General features: G+C 42.3%; 1 protein-coding gene across 2 annotated transcripts in view, besides 1 other annotated feature; it reads right to left on the minus strand.

The window, feature by feature from the left end:
• Positions 919-27,133, minus strand: part of NOTCH2 (notch receptor 2) — a 158,110-nt gene continuing 131,895 nt past the window's right edge. Inside the window, exons 21-34 of one of the 2 annotated variants that reach the window (NM_024408.4) lie at positions 26,648-26,832; positions 24,838-24,970; positions 18,342-18,578; positions 15,865-15,977; positions 14,671-15,176; positions 13,003-13,350; positions 12,002-12,144; positions 11,602-11,812; positions 11,079-11,175; positions 9,595-9,763; positions 8,678-8,979; positions 7,772-7,919; positions 7,031-7,128; positions 919-6,060 (exon numbers count right to left, since the gene is read on the minus strand). In NM_024408.4, coding sequence (NP_077719.2) covers positions 4,672-6,060; positions 7,031-7,128; positions 7,772-7,919; positions 8,678-8,979; positions 9,595-9,763; positions 11,079-11,175; positions 11,602-11,812; positions 12,002-12,144; positions 13,003-13,350; positions 14,671-15,176; positions 15,865-15,977; positions 18,342-18,578; positions 24,838-24,970; positions 26,648-26,832 — 4,079 coding nt within the window. In that variant the 3' untranslated portion in view covers positions 919-4,671. Of the gene's footprint in view, positions 6,061-7,030; positions 7,129-7,771; positions 7,920-8,677; positions 8,980-9,594; positions 9,764-11,078; positions 11,176-11,601; positions 11,813-12,001; positions 12,145-13,002; positions 13,351-14,670; positions 15,177-15,864; positions 15,978-18,341; positions 18,579-24,478; positions 24,971-26,647; positions 26,833-27,133 lie in introns of those variants that run through there. The other variant, NM_001200001.2, reaches the window with a different exon arrangement.
• Positions 25,606-26,331: an enhancer, noted in NCBI's record as "OCT4-NANOG hESC enhancer chr1:120478863-120479588 (GRCh37/hg19 assembly coordinates)". NCBI's record gives its function as "activates a minimal SCP1, AML or CMV promoter by ChIP-STARR-seq in naive H9 embryonic stem cells {active_cell/tissue: H9 hESC(naive)}" and the evidence as "EXISTENCE:reporter gene assay evidence [ECO:0000049][PMID:30033119]".

Raw genomic sequence — 27,133 nt, forward strand, 5'->3', positions numbered from 1 at the left:
CACTTTGTGGATGGGACTTGACTGGTACAAATATTTTAAATGTGTTTTGCTAAGTGCTAAGGCAAAAGAAGGAAAAGTTGTATTCTTTCACACACACAACACACACACAACTTCATATACCCTGTGGCTGAAAGACGTAGTGGCAGAGGCAATTAACAGGCTCGCAGTTCCCCCACTGCCCACATCCTGAAAAACATGTGGGCATTAAGGAGGTTGTTCTGATAAAGGAAGCAGCCCCTCTCCTTGGGTCGTGAAGCTTTTTAGTTGCATGACTGAGGCACTAGCCCCTCTCCTGGCATGCTCATGGTCTAGTGTCCAAGCCTACTGCTCCAGCTTTGTGATGGGGTGGCACTTGGCTTCGGCCCTACTCTCCTTTTTTGGCTTTCACGTCTGGGAGTGCCCCGAGTCCTCCCTGCATAATCAAAGGCTAGCATTCAAGACTTAAAATTGCAGGGGCAGGATGTGGTCAGCCACCCAATGGCCTGCAACCTGGATCCACTGAAGCAGGTTTTCATGGAGCAATTTAGTTCCCAAATAGTTTGCAAGTGGCAACTTGAGCTCTGAGTGGCCGGCCTGCACAGGTGATCATTCCTTAGCTCTCAAATTCATTTTATTCTTCCACCATTATAAAACCCAATATGAAGACTAAAATGTTTTATATAAAATTAAAACATTCTGAACATAACCAATTAATGCTAAATTACGTTAAAACCTTAACTGTGCAGATCTTGAACAAGGCTCCTTTATCTGCTTAGCAGAAGCATATCCTAAGATTTCAAGTCATTAAAAAAAAAACTGTTACCATTTATAACTATGCATGTGTGACTGATAAGTTTCTGCAAAATAATGGAAAATGGAAATAAGATGCTAGGGTCAATATGAGACTGCTAATGCCATACATATTAACAACATCAAGTATTCATGTTCAAATATCTCACTGACTTTATAAATAAATGTATGAATGTGAACTTATAACAAATTTATACACAAAATATTATTTTATAATCCTGTATATTAAGTTCTACACAAATTTCACTTAAGGAATGTTACAAACCAATCATTTACATAACAGCATAATTAATATTATGACTTATATCCCAGTTCCCAATTCTTGCTATAGCAACTACTTCGCATTTCCATTGGAAGGCACCTTGTCCCTGAGCAACCATCTGTTTGTCACCAGCTATGGCTAGTGCACAGAAGAGTGCTCAGTTTTGTGATGTTTCCTATTTGACAGATGCTTTTTCCCCAGGATCATTTATTTATGATCTAATTAAAGGAAGAAAAAAAGAAGTTTGGTGCTAGGCTTTGTGGGATTCAGAAAGAAAAGAAAATTTGCTCTCTCAGCAAATTATGACATCATGAGGTAACACTGCCAGGCCATGGATGCAGTATTGGAAAATAAAAAATACAACACCACTGAGCTTGGCAAACCTTTTTTATTTTGTGATAAAAATGCTTTCATATAAATTTCATCTTAACTACCTTTAGAATGAAACGGAAAAGTAAAAACAAAGTGTGCATTTTCCTTACTACGTTTAGTCAGGAATATGCGGTCATTTTATTGGTTACTGGGTTTCTCATACAAACAGATATAATATCACTTTTAAGAGAAATGTACACAAGGAAGTAACCATAGTACCACTTATTAGTGGGGGCCTCTGGGTACATAAATGTGTCCTCCCAAATAGTCATCATACATTCAATGTATTGGTTAGGGCCAAAATCCCTAAACCACCTCTCAACAAAACATTACACCTTTGGTTCTTTATTATGCAAAAATTACAAATTGGCAAATTCAATAAGAGGATGCAATGGATTTGAGCATCACAGCCAATTGCTTATACTAAAATATTTTAATTCTCAGACTCTCTTTCCCTCATACCTTTCCCTTCCCCACCTCACATAAGAAAATGATGCTTAAAACAAAACAGAGGAAGCAAATAAACAAACAAAAAAACCTATCCCCAAAGGCAGGCAGAAGAGGAGTCAAAGAAAGAAAGCATTTATAACAATAAAAATAAACCAAAAATAGCAGGGGAGGATCTATACATGGCATAAAAGATGTGTCTCATAAAAACTGAGTCTCCAATTCAGAACCCAAATGAGAAAGTGATTATCCATCTTACCTTCCCTTTTATTAGATACCACACAATTCAAGAGTTCTTAAAATCTAAGAGATCAGTAAAAAGTTTGAAAGGCAGTGTTGTCCTCCTCATCACTGAAACCTGTTGTCTGTAATGACAGCTTTCACATTCCCTTTCTCCAAACCCAAAGGATCCAAATTAAAGTAGTCCAAGAAAAAGAAACAAGCAATTTGGTCTGACATTGTGCTTAAGGAAAAGGGAGGATATAAAATATCCAGTGGCTGGATCAGTAGCTGATACTTTCAGAAGTGGGGCTGGAGCAGGAGGGCAGAAAGGGGCAGGTACGCTGTGGTCCACAGAGGTCCATGCAGATAGGTTCTCCCCATCTGTGAATAATAAATGGGTCCAAGGGCAGAGAGTCACCATTTAGAATGATAAAATGTTTGCACACTATGAAAGAGGCTGACAGAATGTTGCCACATGGAGAGAATAAAGCAGAGAATGAACAAACTTAATCTGCTTATCTCAGGGCAGAAGTAATTATTTTTGTTGGTTCAATAAATTTGGATAGGACTGAAAAAACCATTTGTAAACTATTATGCCAACAGACACGCAGGGTTTCCATATGGGGCCACCGACAGACAAATCAGGTAAGTGGGAAGCACTGATGCATACTTGCAGCCATAGAAGGAATGAGAACTGTCATTCAAACCAAAAGAGTCGGGAATTCACCTGTTAATATCTACAAAATGCCCAGGCAGAACTTATTTTGCAGGTGTCATGGGCATCACAGCACTGGACGGAAGTTGCAGTGTAGCCATGGACCAATTATTAACTGGCCCAAGGAGAAGAGGAAGAAAACTATTCTTTATCTACAATTAACTAAAATGCTTCTGCCCTTAAAAGAAAGTCAAAGAAATTGCCAAGAGCATGAATACAGAGAGTGGATTCAGGTGAGGGGCAATCAGTCTGAACAATGAGCAAGTCTATAGTTGTCCATTATCATCTAAAAGGTGACTCTAGGAAAGGAAAATGTTCTGTTGAGTTTCTACGTTAGTTGCCAAAGGGAATGTCATGGCCGCTTCAGAGGAAAAGAAATGGTAGCAGAAAATAGCAAAGGCTGCTATATAGTTCCTCCTTTTCCAACCTTCTTATAGGGCTGTTTTGGATCATAGAAAACAAGTCCAACTTTCCAATTCCTGCACTTGAACATATAAAGTCCATGTCTTCAGTGAGAACATACTGGGTATACCAGTAACACGGACCACACGGTGTGAAAGAAAGATTGGTGAGCAGGCCTTTAAGCAGCAAGATAATCAGTAGAGACTGATCATCTGACAAACGGAAGACAACTGTCACTGGGTCCCTTGGGCTAAGGAAAGTTCAGTCCTAAATGGCAAGGGTACAACATTTGAGACAGTGTCTTCTGTGGATATGAAAGGAAAGGCTCAACAGTTAAGACTAGTTTCATATGCTGGGTGAGTGAGTGAAACAGGCCTAGAATGCTCAGATCTGGGACAAATGTGTTCCATACAGGCAGTCAATGGAATGCTTGGCAGGAAGTAGGGGGACCTGTGGGTGGGTAACTGGCTCTTGCACGAGTTAACTTGTCTCTTGGTCATTCCAACATTCCAAACCTTTTTCTGGTTTTAAAAAAGTGGGGAGGGTCATAGTAACTAGACTATCAAGGATAAAACTTTACACTGACCAGGCCCATACACAGAAAAACAACAAACTCACACCCTTCTTCCTGGTAAAGTTTATATGAAGACCTGCACACAGACAAGAAAAATTAAGGTGCAGCCTCTTGAAGGGATCTCCTGCCCCCAAAATTTGTTGAAGAAAAGTATTCTTCTCCCCTTCTCTCTCCAGGAATGATATATGCAGGAGAACACAATACAGTATGTCCATTTTCCAAAGAAACAACATACTTGAAAGGTTTGTGCTGAGAACCATACCAAAGTAAACCTTGTGAGACTCCAAGGGATACCGGGAAGACAGGAGGGGAAAGGAGACCAAAGTTGCTTTCATGGGCCAGAATGATCAAAAGCACAAAGGTCTTGCCCTATAACATGCTGGTAGGGCTACAATCACGGAGAGGTGCAAAACCAAAAGCACCAAATGAAGACAAAAGAATGTCCAAGGAGGAGGAGATGCGTAGGTCAATTCAGGCAGAATTCCAGGGCATAATTCCCAACAGGACGCTAGTGTAGAATCTTCTCATGGATATGGCAGAAGCCTGCAGGGCTTAAAATGCAGTCCAAGCTGCAAGAATGTCTGGGCTTCAATAAGCATCCATCTTATTCTCCAAATAGAAGAGAGTAAACATGGACCCAAGGCTTGTATTCATCTTGCATTTCCACAAACTTGTCTTATTAGATTAGAATAATCAATAAGCCTTGCAGATACCCAGTGAAACTGACGAATTGCTTCTCTTGCATTATCTGAATAAGAACATCTTCTCTTTCCTACCTCTAGAAGCTGGCTCCAGAGATTTCTTCATTTCTCTCCCGGATGACCTTCATTTGTTCCTCAGCAGCATTTACAAAAGTCAGTTATGTCTCTACACTGGAGGTGGACTCTCTCACGCATAAACCTGCATGTTGTTGTGTGGTGGCTCAGACATGTGTGTCCCAGGTCCCCGCTGACCTCCTCCAGCACCCCCAGGGGTAGGGCTGGTGGTCACATCTGACCAGTCAGAAGCAGAGTGGGGTGATGAACTTGACCACTGGTCAGGAGACTCTGGGGATGGTGTCAGGTAGGGATGCTCACCCTGGAGGTGACCACTGTGACTGGGTGTTCGCTCAGCAGCATTTGAGGAAGCATAACTGTGCTGTGAAGGGGGTGTGGGGTACTTGCCCACAGAGGCTGGGAAAGGATGATAGGCTGGGAGAATGGTCTGAGCTACCTGCCCGTCCTGCTGGGGCATCATGGCAGTGGGGAAAGCCACACTGGGCAAACGGGCCATTTCTGGAATCTGGTACATGGTGGGCAGGGGGCCCGCAACAGCTGGAGGGCAGGTGGACTGAGGCTGGGGAGCCCCCGCTGGTTGGGCAATACTGCCTTTAGGGATGAGCTGGAAAGTCACAATGGGGGGCAAGGGCTCCCGAGGGGTGGTTATGTGCTTCCCTTCAGGTGGCCTGCTCTGGGGAGCTATGCCAGGATGGGTGCCCTCAGCTGGAGCCAGGACCATACCAAACATCTCATTGTACTGGGTCTCATTCACCTCCATGCGGTTCATCCAATCTGCTGGGACTGGGACTGGATGGAGCCTACTCAAGCTTCCAGCACTGCCACTGCCTGGAGACACAATGTGGTGGTGGGATAGCAACTGGCTCACTGAGGGAAGCACAGTGCTGGCCCCATGTGCCAAAGGCTGCATTTCATGAAGGTTAGAAAAAGATAGTGCATGCTGGGCATGGACTGGGGCAGGAGGGGCGGCAGTGGCCAACATAGGGTTGGGTGAGGCCTGTAAGATCCCAGGGGATGTAATCATTGGAGAGGATGTGGTGTCGGAAACATACGTGTGAGGAGATTCTAGGGAATCAACAGGGGATAAAGTTACTGAACTCTCAGACAGTTGGACCTTCTCACTCAGAGACTTCTTCCTCCTACTACCCTTGGCATCCTTTGCCTCCTTGGCAAGGTTAGGGAGGCTAGTAGGCATGGTACTCTTGGCACTGGGCCGTCTAGACTTCTTGCCCATTGGGGTGTGCTTCAGGCTGAGGAAAGATCTGTTGGGCCCACAGATGACAGGTGAGAGAGCAGAAGTCAACACGGTGCCTGGAGGGCTTGGGGTCACATTGTATTCATCCAGAAGGCGCACAATGTCATGGTGCATGCGATCCCGAGCCACATCCCGGGGAAGACGATCCATATGGTCTGTGATGTCTCGATTGGCAAAATGGTCTAACAGGATCTTGGCTGCTTCATAGCTCCCCTCCCGGGCAGCAAGAAACAGAGGTGTCTCTTCCTACAGAAAAGGCCCATCACAGAACACATGTTAATAACACTCTTGAGAATATAGCAGTTTTTCTCAATCTTTTTTATTATCACCCCCTTAGACATGTTTTCCTAATTATCTCCCCGATGAAATATTAACACCACAGATAGGCTGTGCCTCTACCAATGTACTGAATGTGTATCTGTGATTTACACATAAAAAAAGTAAGATTATTTCACCTCTCCTCAAAAAAACAATTTTGCCCCTTAGGGGGAACATCTCTTTAGTTGGGAATTCATAAAATAAAGCATGCCCCTGAGCCAGAGACTCACTTAAAAGAGTACTGAGCTTATCAAAATAAGGTTAAGGAAAAGGAGTTAGAAATAAGAAAGGTAGGAATAGGAGTTAGAAATAAGAAATAATAGGAAAAGGAGTTAGAAATAAGAAAGGTAGGAAGAGAAAAAACTAAGGCATGCACAGAACTGGGAAAAGTAAGGGAAACAGTGAAAGAAGAGACAAAACATGTGCAAGAAAGGACTAAGATAAGGAAAACAAAGAAAACTGAGAGAAGATGAATGAGAGAAGGAAGCAGGACAAAAAACTCAGATGGAGAAAAATCAAACAGGAAAACATCAGGGTATCCAAGGACAGAAAAAAAAGCAGCCGGAGGGAAAAAAGAAAGAAAACGAGAAAAAGAAGTGATTATGAACAGAAGAGACAACTGGAGAAAAGGAAATGTCAGGGAAGAGAAAGAGTTACACCAAGCTATCTATAGCCAGCCTACTGCAAGCTGAGTACTGAGAGGGCAGAGAACTCCATCCTGACACATGCCTGGACAAGCCCAATATCCTCATCAAGCTCTCGAAACCCAGTGTCTGCCCAAACTGCTTCCATCTTTGTCTATACATATAACAAGAGAAGCTGTAAGGAGAAACGGGAATGGGCTTATAACTGAGGCACTGCTATGAGCCTCCTCAAGCTCAGAGCCCACAAACTGTACCTTGTTGTCCTGCATGTCTCGGTTGGCCCCATTTTTCAACAACAAAAGAGTTGCCTCCACATTATTGACAGCAGCTGCCCAGTGAAGAGCAGATTTTCCTGCAGGGGAGAAACATTTTTATAAACAGACATATCCTACTCTTAGTATAAGACACTATGACTTGCACAATGAAATCTTAAACTCCCCAGAGATCAGCAGGAAGCAGTTCTCTGTAGGGGTCTATAGGAAAAACCAAAGTAATCTCTTCTTTTTCCTCTGTTCTAGAAATACTTCAGTACAGGCTGCCTAGCCTGCAGAAGACCTCTAGGTGAAAGGATCACTTGTATGAGGCATTCATGTCCCCTACATGGCAGAATCTACCCTGTTACATACTGAAGATAAAAACCTATATATTACATGTCAGAATTTATATTGAGAATATTCTACAACTCTCCTAGAGAAGTCAGCTCTCATAAATCCTCAAATCAAGTGTTATGCCTAGGAAACTACATGGGAACACCTTTCATGTATCTGCTCTGAGGTCCAAGAACCCTCATTAAAAATCCCTCATTTTAATTAGGGATCTCCTACTGGCTTGGATCTCTGAGCTCAGCATGTTAAATAAATGCATGAATGAAAGAATGAGTGAATCTCTCACGTATTTGGATCTCAGGCAGTTCTCTAAGGGTCACGTAACTCTATTCCCCTCGTCAGAGGCATGCTTTGCAGGTAAGAATCCAAATCCCTGCCTTTCATCCCTACCATGGTCATCCACTGCATTCACATCCGCTTGGCAGTTGATCAGTTCTGCCACCATTCCCTCCACAGCCAGGCGGGCAGCCAGGATCAGGGGTGTAGTACCATCATTCATCCTGGCATCTAGATCAGTTACTCGGTTGCGAATCAGAATCTAGAAGAGGAGAAAGTACAGAAAAGAGAGTCACCTGGATGAAGGAAAATAATGAAACTCAGTGAAGAAACAAGGGCATCAGAGCTGAGGCTACAGTGTAGATTCCTGGAGGAGAGGGAAAGTCTTGTTATCTTTGTGCCCAAGATTCTATCATGATCAATCAATAAATATTTGTTGCATGAATAAATAAATACATGCTCAATAAATAATGGCTGATGTAAAGTGATGAGCCTTCTACTTTCTCAGGAAAGAAGAGGGATGTGGGGAAATATCACAACTTCAGTCAGGATACAGCCTAAGGTGATTCAGAATGCTTCCAATTTCCTCATAAGGATAAACAGGCATCAGGGAATATAATATGAACTCAGGTCAAGAAAACTGCCAATGAGCAGCTAGAAGCCCATACAGTCAGGCCAATCCATAAGAAGTAGCGGATACTAGTCAAAGGCTCCGGACCAGCTATCACTCTCATCTAATCTACGCATTTGGGAGGCATCTTGGCACAACAAATTATCACTAATAATCAGAAAGACTGGTGTTGTCTGCAGTTGGCTCTATCACTATCTTCCTATATATAGCTAGGTCAATTTGCCTGCCTCCCTTTTCCCACTTTCCCATCTACCAAGCATGACTCTAATACCTGCCCTAATCTCTCAAATGATTGAATAAATTCAATGAGATATTAATTCTTTAAAAACGATAAAACATTATAGAGCCATAGGAATTATTATTCAAGTGACTCTTCTCATGTTCTTTACCTGGAAGACACCTTGGGCATCAGCTGCCACTGCAGCATGGAGTGGACAGCGGCCCATGTTGTCCTGGGCATTGGCATCTGCACCTGCATCCAGGAGACGCTTGGCAGCATCAGCCCGTGAGTAGCGGGCTGCAAGGTGCAGGGCCATCTCACCAGTCCGGTCTGTCTGGGCCTGGAGGCTGGCACCCTGGTAGACCAAGTCTGTGATGATGTTAGCAGAAGAGTCCTCTGCATCTTCATCTTCATCACTCAAATCTGAGCTGCCTCCTCGGAGAGAAGCCAACATCAATGGGGTGCAGCCATCTGTAGGAATGGAAAATTCCATAAAGTACTCAAGAAGGAGAAGGTAGTTAACCCTATGGTTGAAACAGCTCTATTTGACTAAAGTTATTCTTAGGGGCAAAGAATTCCCTGTACTTCTTGTAGTAACTGGTTATTAGTTTCACATTTGCCACCTTTTCCTCTGATAGTATCATTTCTGTAAAGAATAATGGGAAAGTACAAGTCTTTTTAAGCTGGGGGCTCTTCTCTAAACACGTTTTTCTGTTCAAGTTTAAGTGCTGTTATTTTAATTGGACATTTAAAAATATCTAATATTAATAGAACAATTAATACATGCATAAGATACTAACTATCCTCTGCTTTGGGATATTATTTTTCTATCCCACTACAATCTAACCCATTTTATCAGCCTGTTTAGTCTCAACACACTGTACATGAAGCAATGTGAAATCCTTCCCTTTCTGAGCTGATAATTTCTTTGTGGCTACATTCCTTAAGCATTCATTTCCTCGAGCTGATTTAGAGTCTGTGAAATTGGGAAGGGGTTTATGACTGGACAGGGCAAACACAGGGACAACAATGTGGAACCATGGGCAGACACAGCCCAGTGAAGAGGGGAAGAGGCCCGGTGCTGACCTGGGCCACGGACATTCACATCTAACACATCCACCTCCTGCTCTGCCTGAGGAGGGGTGAGAGCCAGCGATGGTGTCCTACGGATGTCTGCAGCTTCAAGGTGCTGCTGTGTCCATGGCCGTCGATCAATGGGGTCATCTTCTTCTGAGAGTAAGGCCTCATCTTCAGCCTGAAAGGTGAAAACAATGCTCCCTATCAATCTGGCCACCACCAGAAACTGCTAATCAGAAGGTGTCCAGAGCCTCCACCACCGCTGCTTATCTCCCATTGTTTTCTCTCTTCCTACTCCTCCACCCCTCCAGAGGATTACCTCAGCCTTGGCTTCCCACTGCTCTCGTGATGTGGCTCCTGCTTACCTTTCCTGCATCATCTAGACAACTCCCTCCCCCAATCCCAAACTCTAGGCTTTAGCCTTTAGATCTCCAGAGCACCCAATTCTCACTTTTCCTACCCTCCACTAGAAAGTAAACTTTAATTCTTCTTGTTGGCCCTAAAAAGCATACTCTGCTTACCTCTGCTTAACTGATCATGTGTTAAATGCTTACACAGCACTACATGGCCATCTCCACCACAAGGCTGTAAGCTTCTCAAGAAGGGAAAATAAGCCTTGTTCAAGGTTGTTTCCTTGTACTCAACATAGCACCCAACATGTAGTAAGCACTCAGGAAAGACTATTCAATAATAATAATCATGATAATTTAAAAGCAGCTACCCTTTACTGAATACCTAGTACATGACAGGAAAGTAGATAAGGCACATATGCCAACACAACAACTCACAGAGGAAAGGGTTATTATTATCCGCATTTTACAAGGAAGGATAATTACAAAGAGGTTAAGTAACTTGCCAGCTACTAAGCGGCAGAGTTTTGGATTTGAATCCAGTTCTGATATTAACTAAAGCAATCTTCTTAACCATCATGCTCCACCAGCTCCCAGCCATGCACAGCTGTGGATGGATGGTCTGCTTTTTCATGTCAGTCTCAGCCCAATCTACCACTTGCTTTTATATGGCTTTAGTTTCCTGGGCTCAAGGTATGGAGCCTCCAATGTCAACGTTTTGCCATGATCACTGGCTTTCATTTTGCCAATGTCAATGATAACTGGCTTTCTTCCACTGCTTAATTTCATCTTCTCTTATAGAAGAAGTGCCCATAAAGGATAAGGAAGAGATGTGGCCATGAAGGAATTGCCATCTACACACACCATTCCTGACTTGACTACTGCCAGCATAACACTAAAGGAAACAGATGTGCTTAGTATTTTTAAAGAGTTATTCTTGAAGAGCATATATAGGTAACCCAAGGTCATTTACGTCCTAAGGATTCCTGCTGTTTAGGAGAACCTAGGATAGTTATTGTCTGGGTAAGACATCAAGACTATCACTCTTTACTCCCATTCAGGACACTCTGGAGCTAAAGGACAGAAATTTGAAATGTAACCAGATAATGGCTGACAATGGTGGTTCTACCATGGCCACCTCACCTTTACTTTCTTTGGCTGGGGCCCTTCATCATCGACCCAGTGTTCACTTGTTCCAGTACCAATTAGGTTAGCTTCTGAGACTTGCACTGAGAGATTTCTAATATGATTATAAAAAGAAAAAATAAGAATGGCAGTCATAAACTAATACAGTGGTTTTCAACACTTTCCACCATGACACACTCCCGTGGCTATATTACAATTTTGCAGGGTCTTGGCCCAGAGAAGATGGGCAGTATTTTTGGTGACATTCCCTTGGCATTCATCCTTTCCCTTCCCATTGATCGTGAGCTTACAACAAAAGGGCACCTCAACACAGAAGCTGGGCGGCATTGTGATAATATACACAGAATAGATGCACCCACGCTCTGACTGTGGTTTCAGTCACTCACAAGGCATTTAGAATCATGGTCAATGTGAGTAAATGCCCAGAGCTTAGAATTTAAAATCATGATTCAACAAGATATGCTTTTCTAGTCATCCCTACTTATACTGTGAATAGTGGCTTATTGGCAATGCCTCTTACTTCAGCCCCACAGCATCCTGTCCCACTGGCTCACGACGCTTGTGATTGCTTGCATCTCGGCGAAGAGTGAAACCTTCAGGCAGCCAGAGAGAGCCATGCTTACGCTTTCGTTTTGCCATGATTACCCCCAGCAGAATAATAAACAGAATGATGACAACAGCAACAGCAAGGAGATAGAGGAGCTGAGTGCGTTCTGGAGTCAGGGATTCACCTGAAAGTCCACAGAGACAGGGAAAGTGCTGAATAAAACATTAACCTCTCAATGTCAGCATTAGATTCATTTAGAGGGCAACTTTGACCTCAACAGTCCTGAAAAAATAGAGGGCTACATAATGAAAATTGTTCCCCCAATTGACACTCTTCCCCCGCCACCTTTCCCCTTTACACCAGTGCCACTCACTGACGACAGACACAAGAGGGTATGACAGGGTCCCCTGTATGGCGTGAGAGGCCAGGAGAGCTGCTGCTGCATCCGTGTTCTTGAAGCAGTGGTCTGAGTCTTGAACACACTGGCGGTTGTCAATTTCCAGAAAGACTTTAGAGCTGTGGGATGCCAAGGGAGAAGCGGAGGAGGAGAGATGGGGGTAAAACAGAAGAGTGCAGGTCAGGCAGAACATGTCATAAAGGGTGACAGGAGCCTCCCTTCCTCCCCTTCAGCATCAGGTCCCCACCTCTGGGATGCTGCCTTAAGACATATCTCAGGAATTAGAATACTGTCCCTTGAGATCTTAAACACTAATTCCCACATAGAGGATGTCCCACCTTCCTTAGTCTGGCTGACCAAAGCCTTCTGGCTGAGGCAATGCATGACAAAGTGAGAAGCTGTGCTTTCCTCCCGAAGGTTTCAGTGGTCTTCTTCCACTCTTTCATACCTACTCAGTGGTACTTGGTGCTACTCTAAACATACATCCCTGTGTGTTTTTAGTCCTTATTTTCCTTTGTCTCTGCATTGGTATCTCAGCTAGCTGGAGGGTTGAAAGTTTGACAATATACCAACAAAGAGTGAGGTGTGAATGACAGAGCAACTGAAGATCATTACCTGTGTCAAAGAGACATATATTCTAAAGAAGGGCCTTAACAATAAGGCAATGATTAATGTAAAAAGGAATGTCACTAATAAAGGGATTTGAGGCAACTCTGGCAAAAGGTTATGGATTCTGGCATCTGAGGAGGCCTTCCAGACATTCTGCCTCCTGTGTACCCCTGCCCACTTTTCAGCCAAGACGAAGGCATATCTTTACATTTAAACGTAAGTACTGGGGTAACGGGTTTATCTTAAGTGGTGGGCCATTCTATTTTTCTGATCTTTGCATTTCTATAGGTTGAGTTATGACTTGTGCTATATGTCAAAGTGCTAGGCTTCATAAAATTAGCCTTGAAGTTCAGAAACCAAACACCTACCCAGCCACCTCCTGTTCTTGTTCACCAGGAAGGGATCTGCGTGTCATCCTCTGTTTCTTCATAGCAGCTGACTTCTCACCATAATAGGGGTACACCATGAGTTCCCCCTGGGAGTCCCGCTTAATGCGCAGGTTGGTGTGGAGCAGGGTACCCAGTGCCCGCAAGAAGCTGCGAGCATCCTGGAGCAGTTGTTCAGGTGGCATCAATACCACAATAACCAGGGTACCTTCTGCCAGGTTCTCAGGTTGGTCAGCAGCACAGTCCAGCCCATCCCAACCACACTCCTCACTGTTGCACCCCTGGTCACAGTGGTTGTCTTTGAAGTGGTCTGCACAGTATTTGTCATACCTAGGTAAGGGGAAGCAGAGAACAGGCAAAAGAGCTCAGATTAGACTGGAGCTCTATTTGCTTTTTCATTTGGAACTACTGTGGATTTTCCTACCCATTTTCTGTGGCCCACACCCAGGACCCAAATGCCCCACAAAACCTTCTTTGCATCTCCTATCCCTGATGCCTATGCCACTCATCCTTGTTGAGTACTTCCTAAATGAAGAACATTGTACTCACTATGCTGCAGGAGCTTAGGGGCTCCCAGGCAGTTTACAAGCCTGTTAAGTCAGGTTTTCAAACAAAGCTGCATATCTGAAACAAAAGTCAACCTGGTTCATGCTTCCTCTACTTTAGAGAAATCCATTGCCCCCAGTAAGGTAACAACGGGCTTTAGGAAGTGAAAGATGCCTCTAGAAACTTGATACAAGGCCCTGAACCATTGAGAGTTGCCATACAGAGAACAATATTAACATGACCCATTTCTTTCCCTTTCAAGAGTGAATCCCAACTACAGAAGGTAAAGGCAGATGGGTATGTCCTTATAGCACACCAGATATTACTTGTACAGGCTCTTTCAATATTTGGAAAAGGAATTAGAACCCCCAAACCTAAATGATGTACAAACTATTCCATCTATACTCTCCTCTCCTCATCCCCTACCCCTTGATATTTATACTATTTGGTACAACTTTTCATGCTAGCTCAATCAGAAGATTAGGAGTCAAAGAAACAACTTGCTTTGGCAAGTTCTTTAACCCTTGGGCCTAAGTTCTCTCACCTATGAAAGAATGTTAGTAATACCTATGCCTCGTGAGTTGCTGAGAATTAATTGGGATTAAATTATATGGAATGGCTAGTTAATAGGAAAGTTCCTAAGTAAACCATAGAGCATCCTATACAATTAAGACCGGGAGGGTTCACAGACTTAATCTAATTCATGCTTCCTGATAAATCTAGATGGGGAAAAACAGTCTTAGGGAAAGGAATGGGGTGAAGAGAGAGATACAGACCTTTCCATCCATCCTGCAGGCAGGTTATGTGAGAGGCTGCTTGAAGTGGGAAACACCACTTCCAAAAGTTATATCCCCCAGGAGGTCACGAAGGCAGCAGGTGAGAAGGCAAAGATAGGCAGAGAGAGAGGGTCATTATGCAATGAGCATTCCTGGCCCATTGTCAGCAAGGGAGAGCACAGGGCAGTGTGCGATGGGACAAGGCTGGCACCATCTGAAAAGCAGAGGCAGCTTAGGCTGAAGCACTGGAGTGGTTAGGAGCAAGAACGAGAAACTGAAGTGTGTTAGTGACAGTCCCCTTCAGTTCTGGAAAACGTGAAGCCCTTACTTGCATGTCTTGCTGTTCCCCTGGCATTCAAAGTTGTCAAACAGGCACTCGACCGTGTTGCACAGCTCATCACACTGGTTGTTGATATAATCCCAGCAGGGAAGTGGGGAGGAGCAGTTGGCCCAGGGGTTCTCCATGGTGAGAGAACAGTCACCCCCATCCCACTGGCAGGCATGGCTGTTGCAGGCCTCATCACAGACGCCATCCCGAGCTTTGTCGGCACAATACTGGCTCAGACAGGTGGCAGGAGGGGTGCTGGGGGGTGCCGTGTAGAGTTCACAGCGGCTACCCGAGAATGGTGGGGCACACTGGCAGGAGTAATAAGGAGGCTGGCGCTGAGGGTGGCAGCTGCCCCCGTGCTGGCAGGGGCTACTGGCACAGCCTGACTCGCAGTCCCGGGGACTGGGGCAGAAGCAGCGGGGTCCAGAGGCGGTGTGCACACACTGCTCCCCCTTCCTACATTTCACTTGTCCACAGCTGCTCTGGCACCTTGCCCCGGAAAATCCCTGTGGAAATCAGTGAGGAAATAAAAATGGCATTGGTAGGAAAACAGTCATATTGGAAGTTTGAGGTTTCTAGAAAACCTCCACATCTCACTCCCTTCTGTACTTCCCGTTCAGCCCAAGCCAAGGTTACTAGACAGGTTTCCTTTTGGTATCTCCCGAGGCATAGGGATCTCTTGTTTTGGGAAGGTTTCAACCTCTGGCAGTGATAAAAGAATGGGTATAGCAAATAGCTAAAATTGAGCTTCCCTCTACTTTAAGAGACAACTTGCTTCCAAATGGTTCCTGCTAAAGAATGTAAGAGCAGCATTTCCACCAACTCTGGCCCAATCTGGGCAGTGAGATTACCCTCCAGCCTGGGGCCAAGAAGCCCCACACATCAGCCCTATTTTCAAGGGGGCACTCCACCACTTTTTGTGGTTTTCCCTTAGTTTTTCTTAAGACTGACAGTCATGGATTGGGAAGCTCACTGTTTCTGGGAGTGTCTAAACAGCTTTTATTTGTTTTTGTTTTGTTTTGTCACTTGTAAACAGCTTTAAATGGAAAAACCCAAGCACTTTCCTCTGAAAGAGCTAAAATTGAGAAATCTTCCCATTTCGAAGATTGGTAAAACCAGGTTTAATCTCAGTTCTGTTCACAGATTGTATGGAAGAGACAATGCCCCTTCTTAGATGAGCAACAGGGCACTTACCGGGGGACAACGGCAAATGAAACCATCAGGCATGTTACTGGCCACAGCACAAGTCCCTCCATTCAGGCAGGGCATCTGGGGACACACATCGACGAAGGTTTCACAGTGCCGGCCTCAGAAAATAAAAAATAAAAAAGGTTTTAAAAGGCAGAAGTAGTCACTGCAAGTTACTCAACAAACTTTGCTGGGATGGGAACTAGCCATAGGTGAAGCAAGTGTGAGAGAGTTCAGTTCTAGGCCTGTGGTAATCTGAGCATAGAAAGAAAACACTCACTGCATCTCAACATGATTGGCCTGTCACCAGCTCAGGCCAGTCCCTTACTCTGTCTTGCCTACACAGTAAGTACCAACTCACACAACAGGGTGGGTGAGAAAAGTGACTTAAATCCCATCAAAAAAAGAGAAATCACACTTCAGCTTTTTGAAGTCATTTTAGCTTTCATAAGTTGCAAAAAAACAGTTGAAAAACTATTCACTGCATTTTGTTAATGTTATCTACTTCATAGGAGAGGCTACACCAGGCCAATACATTTAAATGGTGATTTGCGGTATAGAGAATTTTCATCTGTGATACCTCATTTCAATCACTTTTTGGCCTTTCTGTAACCTAACTCGTATTCCTTAAAACACAGCTTAATTTTCCTAGAGTTAGTTTCCTCTAGGAATAGTTCTAAAACGGAAGGCCCCTGGGGGCCACTGCTCCAAGATAAAGAACGAGGCAACTGGAACCACAGAGGAGACGCAGGGCACAGCTGGGACTCCTGGCCAACAGCAGGAGATAGGCCCCATTTGGCCGGTGGTCACTTGGGAAAGAAGAGGTAGCTTTAAAAATGAAATAAAAATAGTAATGTTTTTGGCCAACGAGATCAAGCAGCAAGAGGTATAAATGTTTGTCTCTTCAAATCACAGCAGCAGCCGCTAACCAAGAGCAGCCACCACATGGACACAGCTTGGTGGACCACCAGTCCCTTGCTGTTTATCTCTGCAACAGCATCCCACAATAACTGTGCTCAATGTATTCAAGGGATTTTTTTTTTTTCATTCACAAATGTGGAAAATGCACAAACACTACTTCCTGGCTGTGGGATACTACTTCAAAGTGGTCTCCATTCCTTCCTTCTCCTGCTTCCCCCTTACTTTGCAAATGCTTGTGTTTCCAGAGAAAAAAGCCTCAGGGGCAATGAAAGAAACAGGAGCCAGTTTTGATGCTTTGGCTTTCAAAGTGCAGTTTGGCCAATACGAGGCTGTAGACAGATTATTCATACTTATTCTGTTCCACATTGCCTCAATAGCTATTATGTTCACAATGGACTATTTCTTTTTTGATGTTAGTGTATCCAGGGAGCTTCCATATTGCAGAATCCCTCCCATTCTTTACAAAATTCCAAGATTGTAAGGTAGCATATCTTTAAAGTTGGAAGGAAAGATGGCTGGAGATGGGCTCAGGATGTAGCAGAGTTCAGCTTGATGAATTGTTTGTAAACAGACTATTAAAGCCTATTTTCTGACTCCTAAGGAATCTGATCACACCCTCCATATAAGAAATACAACTACAGACCCCAGGAAATGCATGATAAATTTCAAATCTGAGTATCCTGCCACATCTGGATACAAACAACTATTTTAGTTCCCAAAAGTCACCATGCTGCCCTCTCCAGAAGTAACTAGTAAGTTCTTGTGATAAGACCCCTATTCTGAGGCAGAGCTTGGTCATCTTCAGGCCCTGTGATGAAAGAAAGAAGCTTGGGAACAGAGTAGGAACATGGCCAAGCCTTTACTGGGCAAGGCATTACTTGTGACCACTGCAACTTTTCATTTCATACCCACATCAACTGATCTTTGGTTAAACACACTTGAATTTGGACCTGCCCCCTTTAAGTATCTAAGCAGGGTCCTAAGCTTCTCTGAGTCCTAGGGGTGGAAAGATCATGGTGGCAGGAACTACCCAGTAATTCAAGCCATCACATGTCAAAGGAGGCAGGGTGAAGAAACCGGAGTTAGACGTAAGGTTCCTTAAAACAAAATGTTATTTTGTTCAGATGAAAAGAGTTCTGTGAATGAATGGGGGTGATAGTAGAACAACAATGTCAATGTACTAAACAATGCCACTGAACTGTACACTGTACACTTTAAAATGATTCAGATAGTAAATTTTAGGTTTTGGATATTTTGCCACTATTAAAAAATGTTATTTTGTTCAACTACTTTCAATATACATTGTAAAAAATATTCCTGCCATAGCATGATATAATCAATGCACAACAAAAGAATCTCTTAGGAAAAATTAAAGGTAGACACTGATCATAACATCCATAAAGTACAGACTAAGAAAAAACTGGCTTTAAAAAATTAAGCTGCTGTTGTTTTTCTTATATAAGAAAAGCTTCACTTGGGTCTGGGACAACTCACAGGGCCCAATTTGTTCACTAAAACCATCCTCCAAGGCAGAGTGGCCAGGAGGCTAGAGAGCTTCTCACCAGTAAAGGCACTACGGCAAACACACAGGTAGTCATTGGTGAGCTGTATACAGTCCAGGCTGCCCTCAGAGCTGCAGGGGTTGGAGAGGCACTCGTTGATGTCTCCCTCACAACGCTCCCCAGCAAAGCCAGGCAAGCAGCGACAACTGTAGCCTCCAATCCTATCCATGCACTGACCACCATTAAGGCAATGGGGACCCCGGGCACAGTCATCAATGTTCTCTTCACAGAGTAGGCCTGGAGGAAAGAGAAGAGGTACAGAATTATGAAAATCCTTTTAACCTGCTTTCCAGCAAGGGATAACCACCCTTGTTGGCATTTTCACAATGAATCAGAGTATACTCCTCAACTGGTAGTGGGACCTTGTAGTTGGGCAGGGCAAAGCACACTCTTTATTCATGACAGCTGTCATCCTGGTGAGTTGTACAAGTAAAGGAAAGAACATACTAGGGCTCCGCATGTACTCTCCCACACAATCCAGTGAAGTAGCACCCTATGGTGTAGGTCCTATTATTTGTCCCATCTCAAAGAGAAGGAAACTGGAGCTCAAGAGAGGCTCAGTAATTTTTCCAAAGTATAATCCAAAATATAAAAACAGTCCAAAAAAGAACATAACAATAAATACAGTTATGCAACCGCATAATGACATTTTAGTCAATGCAGGCAGCACATACGACAGTGGTCCCATAATGAAGCTGAAGCTGACAAATTCCTGTTGCCTAGTAACATCATAGCCTTGTAATGTCATAGCACAATTACTTTTTAAATAAATTCAGTGTAGCTTAGGTGTACAGTATTTACAAAGTCTGCAGTAGTGTACAGTAATGTCCTAGGCCTTCACATTCACTTACCATTCACTGACTCACCCAGCAAGTTCCAGTCTTGCAAGCTCCTTTCATAGTAAATGCCCTATACAGGTGTACTATTTTTTATCTTTTATATTGTATTTTTACTGTACCTTTTAAATCTTCTACTGTACCTCTTCTTAAATATGTTCAGACACATAAATACTTACCATTGTGTTATAATTGCCTACAATATTCAGTTCAGTAAAACAAGGTGCAGGTTTGGAGCCTAGGTGTGTAGTAAGCCATACTCTCTCTGTTTGTGTAATTACACTCCATGATGATTGTACAACAATGAAATTGCCTAAGGGCATATTTCTCAGAACATATCCCCACTGTTAAGTGACCCATGACTATACATAGGTTATGTAAAAATATTGGTAACAACTGGAACTGAATTTTGAATGAAATACATTTTTAAGTTTTATAATCACTGGCTTTTTTCTGTAATAGTGTATAAGTGCACCAATGCTTTTTATTTAACAAAAATAGAGGATAAATTTCCTGCTGAGAGTTCAAAAGTTATTCCATTTAAAACAGGACTAATTTATTGTACTATAGATGTAAATGAGCCATCTAGTATGAATATCTGCATATAGTGTCTTACAAAGAAACAAAAGAAATCAATGACTATTCTAGAAATTATTCTATGATTAATTCAAAAAGGCACAAAAGAGGCTGGGCACAGTGGCTCACACCTGTAATCCCAGCACTTTGGGAGGCTAAGGCAGGCGGATCACTTGAGGTCAGGAGTTCAAGACCAATCTGCCCAACACAGTGAAACCCCATCTCTACTAAATATACAAAAATTAGCTGCGTGTGGTGGTACATGTCTGTAATCTCAGCTACTTGGGAGGCTGAGGCAGGAGAATCACTTGAAACCGGGAGATGAAGCTTGCAGTGAGCCGAGGTTATGCCACTGCACTCCAGCCTGGGCAACAGAGCAAGACTCTGTCTCAAAAAATAATAATAATCATAATTAAAAAAAAAGGTACAGGCTGGGTGCAGTGGCTCAAGCCTGTAATCCCAGCACTCTGGGAGGCCAAGGCAGGTGGATCACGAGGTCAGGAGATCGAGACCATCCTGGCTAACATGGTGAAACCCCGTCTCCACTAAAAAATACAAAAAAAAAATTAGCCAGGCATGGTGGCGGGCGCTTGTAGTCCCAGCTACTCGGGAGGCTGAGGCAGGAGAATGGCATGAACCTGGGAGGTGGAGCTTGCAGTAAGCCGAGATTGCGCTACTGCACTCCAGCCTGGGCAACAGAGCAAGACTCTGTCTTAAAAAAAAAAAAAAAAAAGGTACAAAAGAAAACAGTTCTGTATGTATTCCTGCCACTTGCATTGTAGCATACACTAACAAAAGCAAGATTTTTTTTTTTAAATGTAAAGTAAGGCCCAATTTTCAAAAGCAATTACCAAATTACCAAAGATAAAATACCTAGGAACAATCTTCACAAGAAATGTGTTACACCTAAATGAAGACAACTTTAATACTGTCCTAACAGACACAAAAGAGACTTGAATAAATGGAAAGACATACCAGGATTTGGTTAGCAAGACTCCTCATCATAAAGTTATCAGTTTTCTCTATACTATAATTCATAAATTTAATGAGACCCCACTAAAAATTATCAACAGGAATTTATTAACAGACAAGCTGATTATAAAATTATGTGAAAAAAAATAACCAGGAAAACTATGAAGAAGAAGATCCTTAATAATTGAAATAGAACGTTATTGGTGAATTAATAGAATAACACAGAAAATAAAGAAAATCCAGAAGAACACCAAAAATACACATGGGAATTTAGAATCTGGCAAAGGTGCCATCTCAAATCATTATATATATAAAAAACAAAATATTCAATAAATTGTGTATTAACAAATGAGTAGTCATATGGCAAAAGTACTTGAAGAAAATATGGGAGAATTTCTTTACGATCTTCAAGTGTATATGATGTTGCTAACTACAACTCAAAATCCAGAAGCCATTTTAAAAGTGATAAATTCAACTTGATTAAAAAGTAAAAGTGTGCACTAAAAATCACTATAAAGAAAAAAGATAAAAAAATACTGGGAATATATTTGTTTTTTTATATCATAGCCAATTTCCACAAAACATTACATCAACAACTTAATGTGGGAAAAAAGATATATGTGTGTATATATATATATATGTATATATACATATATATATATATAAACAAAGAAACTGCAAAAAAAATCAAAAGAAAATGATTCTTAAATGAAAATATATTCTCCACCTTAAGAAAAAGCCAATATGCTGATATACTGCAATCACTGATTAAAATGATAAATGCACATATTATCCAATCCAGCGATTCTATTTCTGAAAATTTATTTCACCAATATACTTATATGCCTGCAAGATAACTGAAATATCTATCATGATGGCACTGGTTAAAATATGGTATGCCTGTAAAAGGGAATTCTGTAGCTATAAAAAATATTGAGGAAGTTCAGGCTGGGTGTGGTGGCTCACGCCTGTCATCCCAGCACTTTGGGAGGCTGAGGCGGGTGGATTGCTTGAGGCCAGGAGTTCAAGACCAGCCTGACCAACATGGAGAAACCCTGTCTCTATTAAAAATACAAAATCAGCCAGGCATGGTGGCACATGCCTGTAATCCCAGCTACTCAGGGCGCTGAGGCAGGAAAATCACTCGAACCCAGGAGGCGGAGGTTGCGGTGAGCTGAGATCATACCATTGCACTCCAGCCTGGGCAACAAGAGCAAAACTCCATCTCAAAACAAACAAACAAACAAATATCTATCTATCTATCTATCTATCTATCTATCTATCTATCTATCTCAGAGAGAGAGAGAGGAAGTTCTATATTTTGATATGAAAATATCTCCAATTAAGTAAAAAAAAATCAAGTGCAAAAAATGTGTCTAATATTCTATCTTCAGAGTAAAAAGTAAAGGAAATAAAATATCTTTGCATTTGGCTTCTCTCTACATAAAGAAATTCTGAAGGATACAGTTTTTGAAAAATTCTAGAAAGAAACACAAACAACCAAAAGTGGCGATTACATGTTTGCAGGAGAGGGAAAATTTGCCCACCAGAAGAGAGATGGGAATGAGAAGTATTTTCACTGTATACTTTTCTATGTGTGAATACACTTTTGGTCTATATGCATATATGCATATATCACCTTATACATAGAGTAAATTGAAAACAAAAAAGTAAAAACAAACAAAATCTAGTATATGCTCCCTGTCTCAAAGAATATTTGATATTTAGGGATTGCTAGTAAAATGAGCATAAATGCATATTTCCCCATCAGAATGGAACCACCAGAAATAAACAGATCTATCAACTGAGAGAGAACTCAACCTCAGCCTGAAGCAAAGTAGTAGGAAGAGGCAGAACTGTTACATTTAGCCCTTGACCTGGGAAACTGGTGGGACATGCAGGCAAAGATCTAAGGCTTAGAAATATGGTGACCAAAACACACATTGTGATGACTCTAACAATGGGGTTATGGGACTTGAGAGTTTCCTGGAATGTTTACCAATGGCCAGAGAAGTTAAGTCAGGATAAAAAAATACTGTTCCACATACCTAAACAAGCACACACAGTAAAATAATCCAAGGAACTGTAAGTAGGATAAACTCAAAGAAATTCATACCTACATACATCATAATCAAACTATCAAAAGATAAAGAATCTTGAAGGCATCAAGAAAGAAGCAATGTATCACATATAAGGGAACCTCAATAAGATTAACAGCATATTTCTCATTAAAAACCATGGATATCAGAAAGCAGTGGGATGATATATTCAAAGTGCTGAAAGAAAAAGACTGTCAATGATAATATCAAAACTAGTATTCTAAGCCATCTTTACCATATGGTTAGAAGAGACAAAAATTTTGTTTCCTTCTGAAATGATCCATTCTAGGACTGGACATGTCTTATTAATTAAAAGTTCATGGTATAGTAGTGATTTTAGAGTTTGATGAATACTCATGTACTCTCCTATATTTCCCAGCCTCCCTTGAAGTCACAGAGACCATTTAATAATTCCGGTCAATATACTGCGAGGGATAGTGATATGTGTTGCTTCCAGACTGAGCTAGTGGAAGCTGCTGTATGACCCTTCAAGTCTGTCCCTCTTCCCTGTACTGTGGAGGCCTTGGAGGCCAGGTGTTTCAAACCACATATCTAAAACACAGAGAAAGGTAGCCCAACACATATTCGACTTTATTTGAGTGACAAAATCAGTGTTATATTAAGCTCTGAGATTTGAGGTTTAATTAGCTGCTATAGCTTGAAGTTTGACTGCACCAAACCACATGTTAAAATGTGATCTCCAATGTTGGAGGTGGGGCCTAATGGGAGGTGTTTGGGTCCCTGGATCTTCTTCACTTTTCACCATGAGTGGAAACAGCCTGACGCTCACACCAGAGGCAGATGCTGGCACCGTGCTTCCTGTACAGCCTATAGAACTGCGAGCCAAATATACCTCTTTCGAAAAATAAATTACTTAGTCTCAGGTATTCTTTTATAGCAACATAAATGAACTACGATAACAGCTATCACCAGAATCGTAGCTTGTCCTAACCAGTACAGTTTCTCAAAGGAACAAACTAACAATGAACTGGAATTAATTTCTACTCAACCACTGATTTCTAGAATAAAGAACAATTCTCCTTTTTACAGGACAATTCTTCAAATACTTAAAGACTGTTTCTCCTTAGTTTTCTTCTTCCCATTAACCTCATTCCTTAATAATCAGCCTACTACTAGGGTACTCTCCTATTTTAATTTAGTCAAACTCTGATACCTGGGGTGGCAAATTATCAAACTTTACTGACACAAAGCTCTAAGGCAATACAAATACTTCTCTGGCATTCTATTCTCTTTGACACTAACAAGGATGAATTTCTCACCAGTGTGGATGGCCTTTTACATTTTTTTCACAGCCTTCTCAGAGTAGGCCCCAGCATAACTACATCCCTTCTAACAAACAATACTCAAAGCTCTTTCCAAGGGATGGTTCAAAAGCAGTGTCAATGTCCACAGCAGAATGATGGCCATACCACTCAGTTCAAAAGCAGTGGCAATGCCCACAGAAGAATGATGGCCCCATCACTCAACAGTCCAGGGTTGCATCTCTCATCAGGCCTTACTGCATCCTAAGGTAGAACCTTACACCATCAGTATCCTCCCCTGAAGCTATGAAAATAGGCAGATATTTTCATTTCATTCATTCCCCCACCTTATAGAGGTAAGACTTGGCTAATTAAAAAAATACAAAAGCAGGTAAATGTAAATTGTTTATTTTAGAGGCCATTAGTTGCTTTTCTGTGAAGCAACAAGAAATCTTACTGACCAGGCTAATTTTTTAATGTTATGCTAATGTTGTATCCCTTCCATATTCTGTGTTTCATGGAATATCAAGATGCCAAACAACCAGATAAAACTGACAACATAAACCACAACATCAGAGCTAGCAAGAGATGGGAGAATAAAATGGCTTGAATTACTAGGATGTAGAACTAAATGCTTGGAATGAAGCTAGTCTTCCTATCTTTAATTTTATAAAATCCCCTGAACACTAAGAATGGATTTATAACTTAAGACAATGCCCTGGATGGAAAATGGATAAGGATGATTTCATACCCCGAGTGCCTGGTGGGCAAGAGCACTTGAAATGGTTCACAAGGTCAATACAGGTGCCTCCATTCTGGCAGGGCTGATTCTGGCACTCATCCACTTCATACTCACAGTTGACACCCTGATAGCCTGGGACACACTGCCATGAGGAAACAAAAAGGACAAGAAATATTGGACCATTACTGGAAACAGACCATGAGAGCTAGTGAGATCTGGAACATTTCTGTGACTGTCTCCCACCTCCTAATTTAGCTTTTGTATGTTTTCTCTGGAACCATCACACTCTCTGCTAATCATTCTATGCAGGGACAGAAAACCTGCAGCTTACTGGCATTTACCTACTCCTCTTTCAGTTGAAAAAGGCACTTTAAAGGGAAGGCAAGGACTGAATACAATGAAGGATGTTTCAGATTTGACTTGTGTGCAAACCTTTTGTTCCTCCTGGGTACAGGTTTCCTCATCTTTAAAATACACATTCCTCCGTATGTGATGAGGACCCTATGACTCGGTCAAAAGGCATATGTGGATGGTAGTACAGACATGCAATTATTGATCTCCAGGTTTAGGAAATTGGATCTATGTGTGAGAAACTGGTTGAGATAGGCTTAGGGGTAGAGGGAGGTGGGGCTGGCTGGCTGGCTGTGGTGGCTGTAGGGGTTGGAAGGATTTCAGGGCTGACCAAGAAAAAAGATATGGCTGTGAGGTGGCTTTATTTGGACACTTTGACAGGTTTGCACCTGGGAGAAGTCCCAAATAGCATGAGACCTTCCAGAGGGGTAGGTGAGTAAGGGGAAGACAGCAAGTAAACTCTGGGAAAGAAGGATCAGAGAAGGAGTCTAGGTGATGTCACTCAACAGCCAGTGGCAGGAATCTCTGGGTCAGAGAGCTCTAAAGGCCAGCATCAGCCTGGGGTCTGTATGGCCCCAGGGTATATCTTGTCCTACTTATACTATGGCTAGCAGATTTTGGCTGCAGTTTTACAGGCTATGCAAAGCAGGCAAGCTCTAAATAGCTAAAAATCTGCTTATTTGGGGGCTATGTTTAAAACAACTAGATGTGTCAAAATTTGGGTTTGGCACTGGTAGGCTTTTGAGCTAATGAGACCCAGCCCCAGCCTGCTGTGAAGAAATAAACAACCTAGGGGCCAAAATACAGAAGCTATCGTTGGCTCATTTATATAACAATAGAGAAGCAAAGCTTTTCTCAGTGTTGCTTGATGGTTTGAATTGGTATCAAATTAATGTCTCAGGCATTTTGCTAATATCTTGCTTGCTCTAACCATTATCAGCCCAGACATTAAAATAGTGACATGTACCTTGAAGACACATACTTCCTCAAATATATACATGTAACGTTTAGCATGATGCTATGGGGAACAGGATGAGCAACATTTTTTTTTTTTGAGAGAAAATTGCTAGTTGACTGATTAATGACTAAATACAAAGGTGACAGGGGCCAAAGGGACACTCCACAAAGCAGTTTTTCCTATCTCAGCTGCTATTCAGGGAAGTGTGGACTGCTATGTTGGGTGGGCCTGTAAAATGCACTCTGGTAGTGACTCTTGGCTCTGAATCCTAAAAGCAAGCCTAAGGAGCTGGGATGGTTCCAGACGCCTATAAAAATATCATACTAGGGACCTGTTAACTTATTGCACAGAGAGGCTGAAAGAAACAGTGGTAAACATTATGACGGGGATTGGTAAAAATCTATAAACTATCAATATAAGATACAAGCAGCTAAATTCAATATATCAGTGCTCAAACAGTTGTACAATCTCCTGGGAGGTCCATGACCTCTGCTTGCTCAGTGTCCTCACCTCGCATCTGTATCCACCAATGAAGTCACTGCATGTTGCCCCGTGCTGGCAGGGGTTGGACGCACACTCATCGAGTTGCTCCTCACAGTAGCTCCCAGTATAGCCCAGGGGGCACTGACAGTAATGCGTGTTGCCAGCATTGATGCAGACACCTGAGTGCTGGCACAAGTGTTCAACAAGCACACCTGGGAAACCCAGTGAGGGAGAAATGTCATAGAAGAACATGTGACACATGGGGTTCAAATCAACCAATGAGCAAGTAAATCTAAACTGGCTGACACATCCAATCTTATTCTTAGCCAGTTCTTCACAACCCTCAGTACCAGATGCATATTAAAAATAAACCCTGAAAGTGGAATATACCTTAGTTTCATTTCAAATACATTCTTCTCCGAATCTCTGAACCTATTCCTCTACCCTTACACCTTCTGTCTTGAGCCCTTTCCCCAGAGCCCTGCCCACCCACTACTATCTGCCCTTCCCTCT

The sequence above is a fragment of the Homo sapiens genome, chromosome 1 (genome assembly GCF_000001405.40).
Source record: "Homo sapiens chromosome 1, GRCh38.p14 Primary Assembly".
In the NCBI taxonomy this organism is placed as follows: domain Eukaryota; kingdom Metazoa; phylum Chordata; class Mammalia; order Primates; family Hominidae; genus Homo; species Homo sapiens.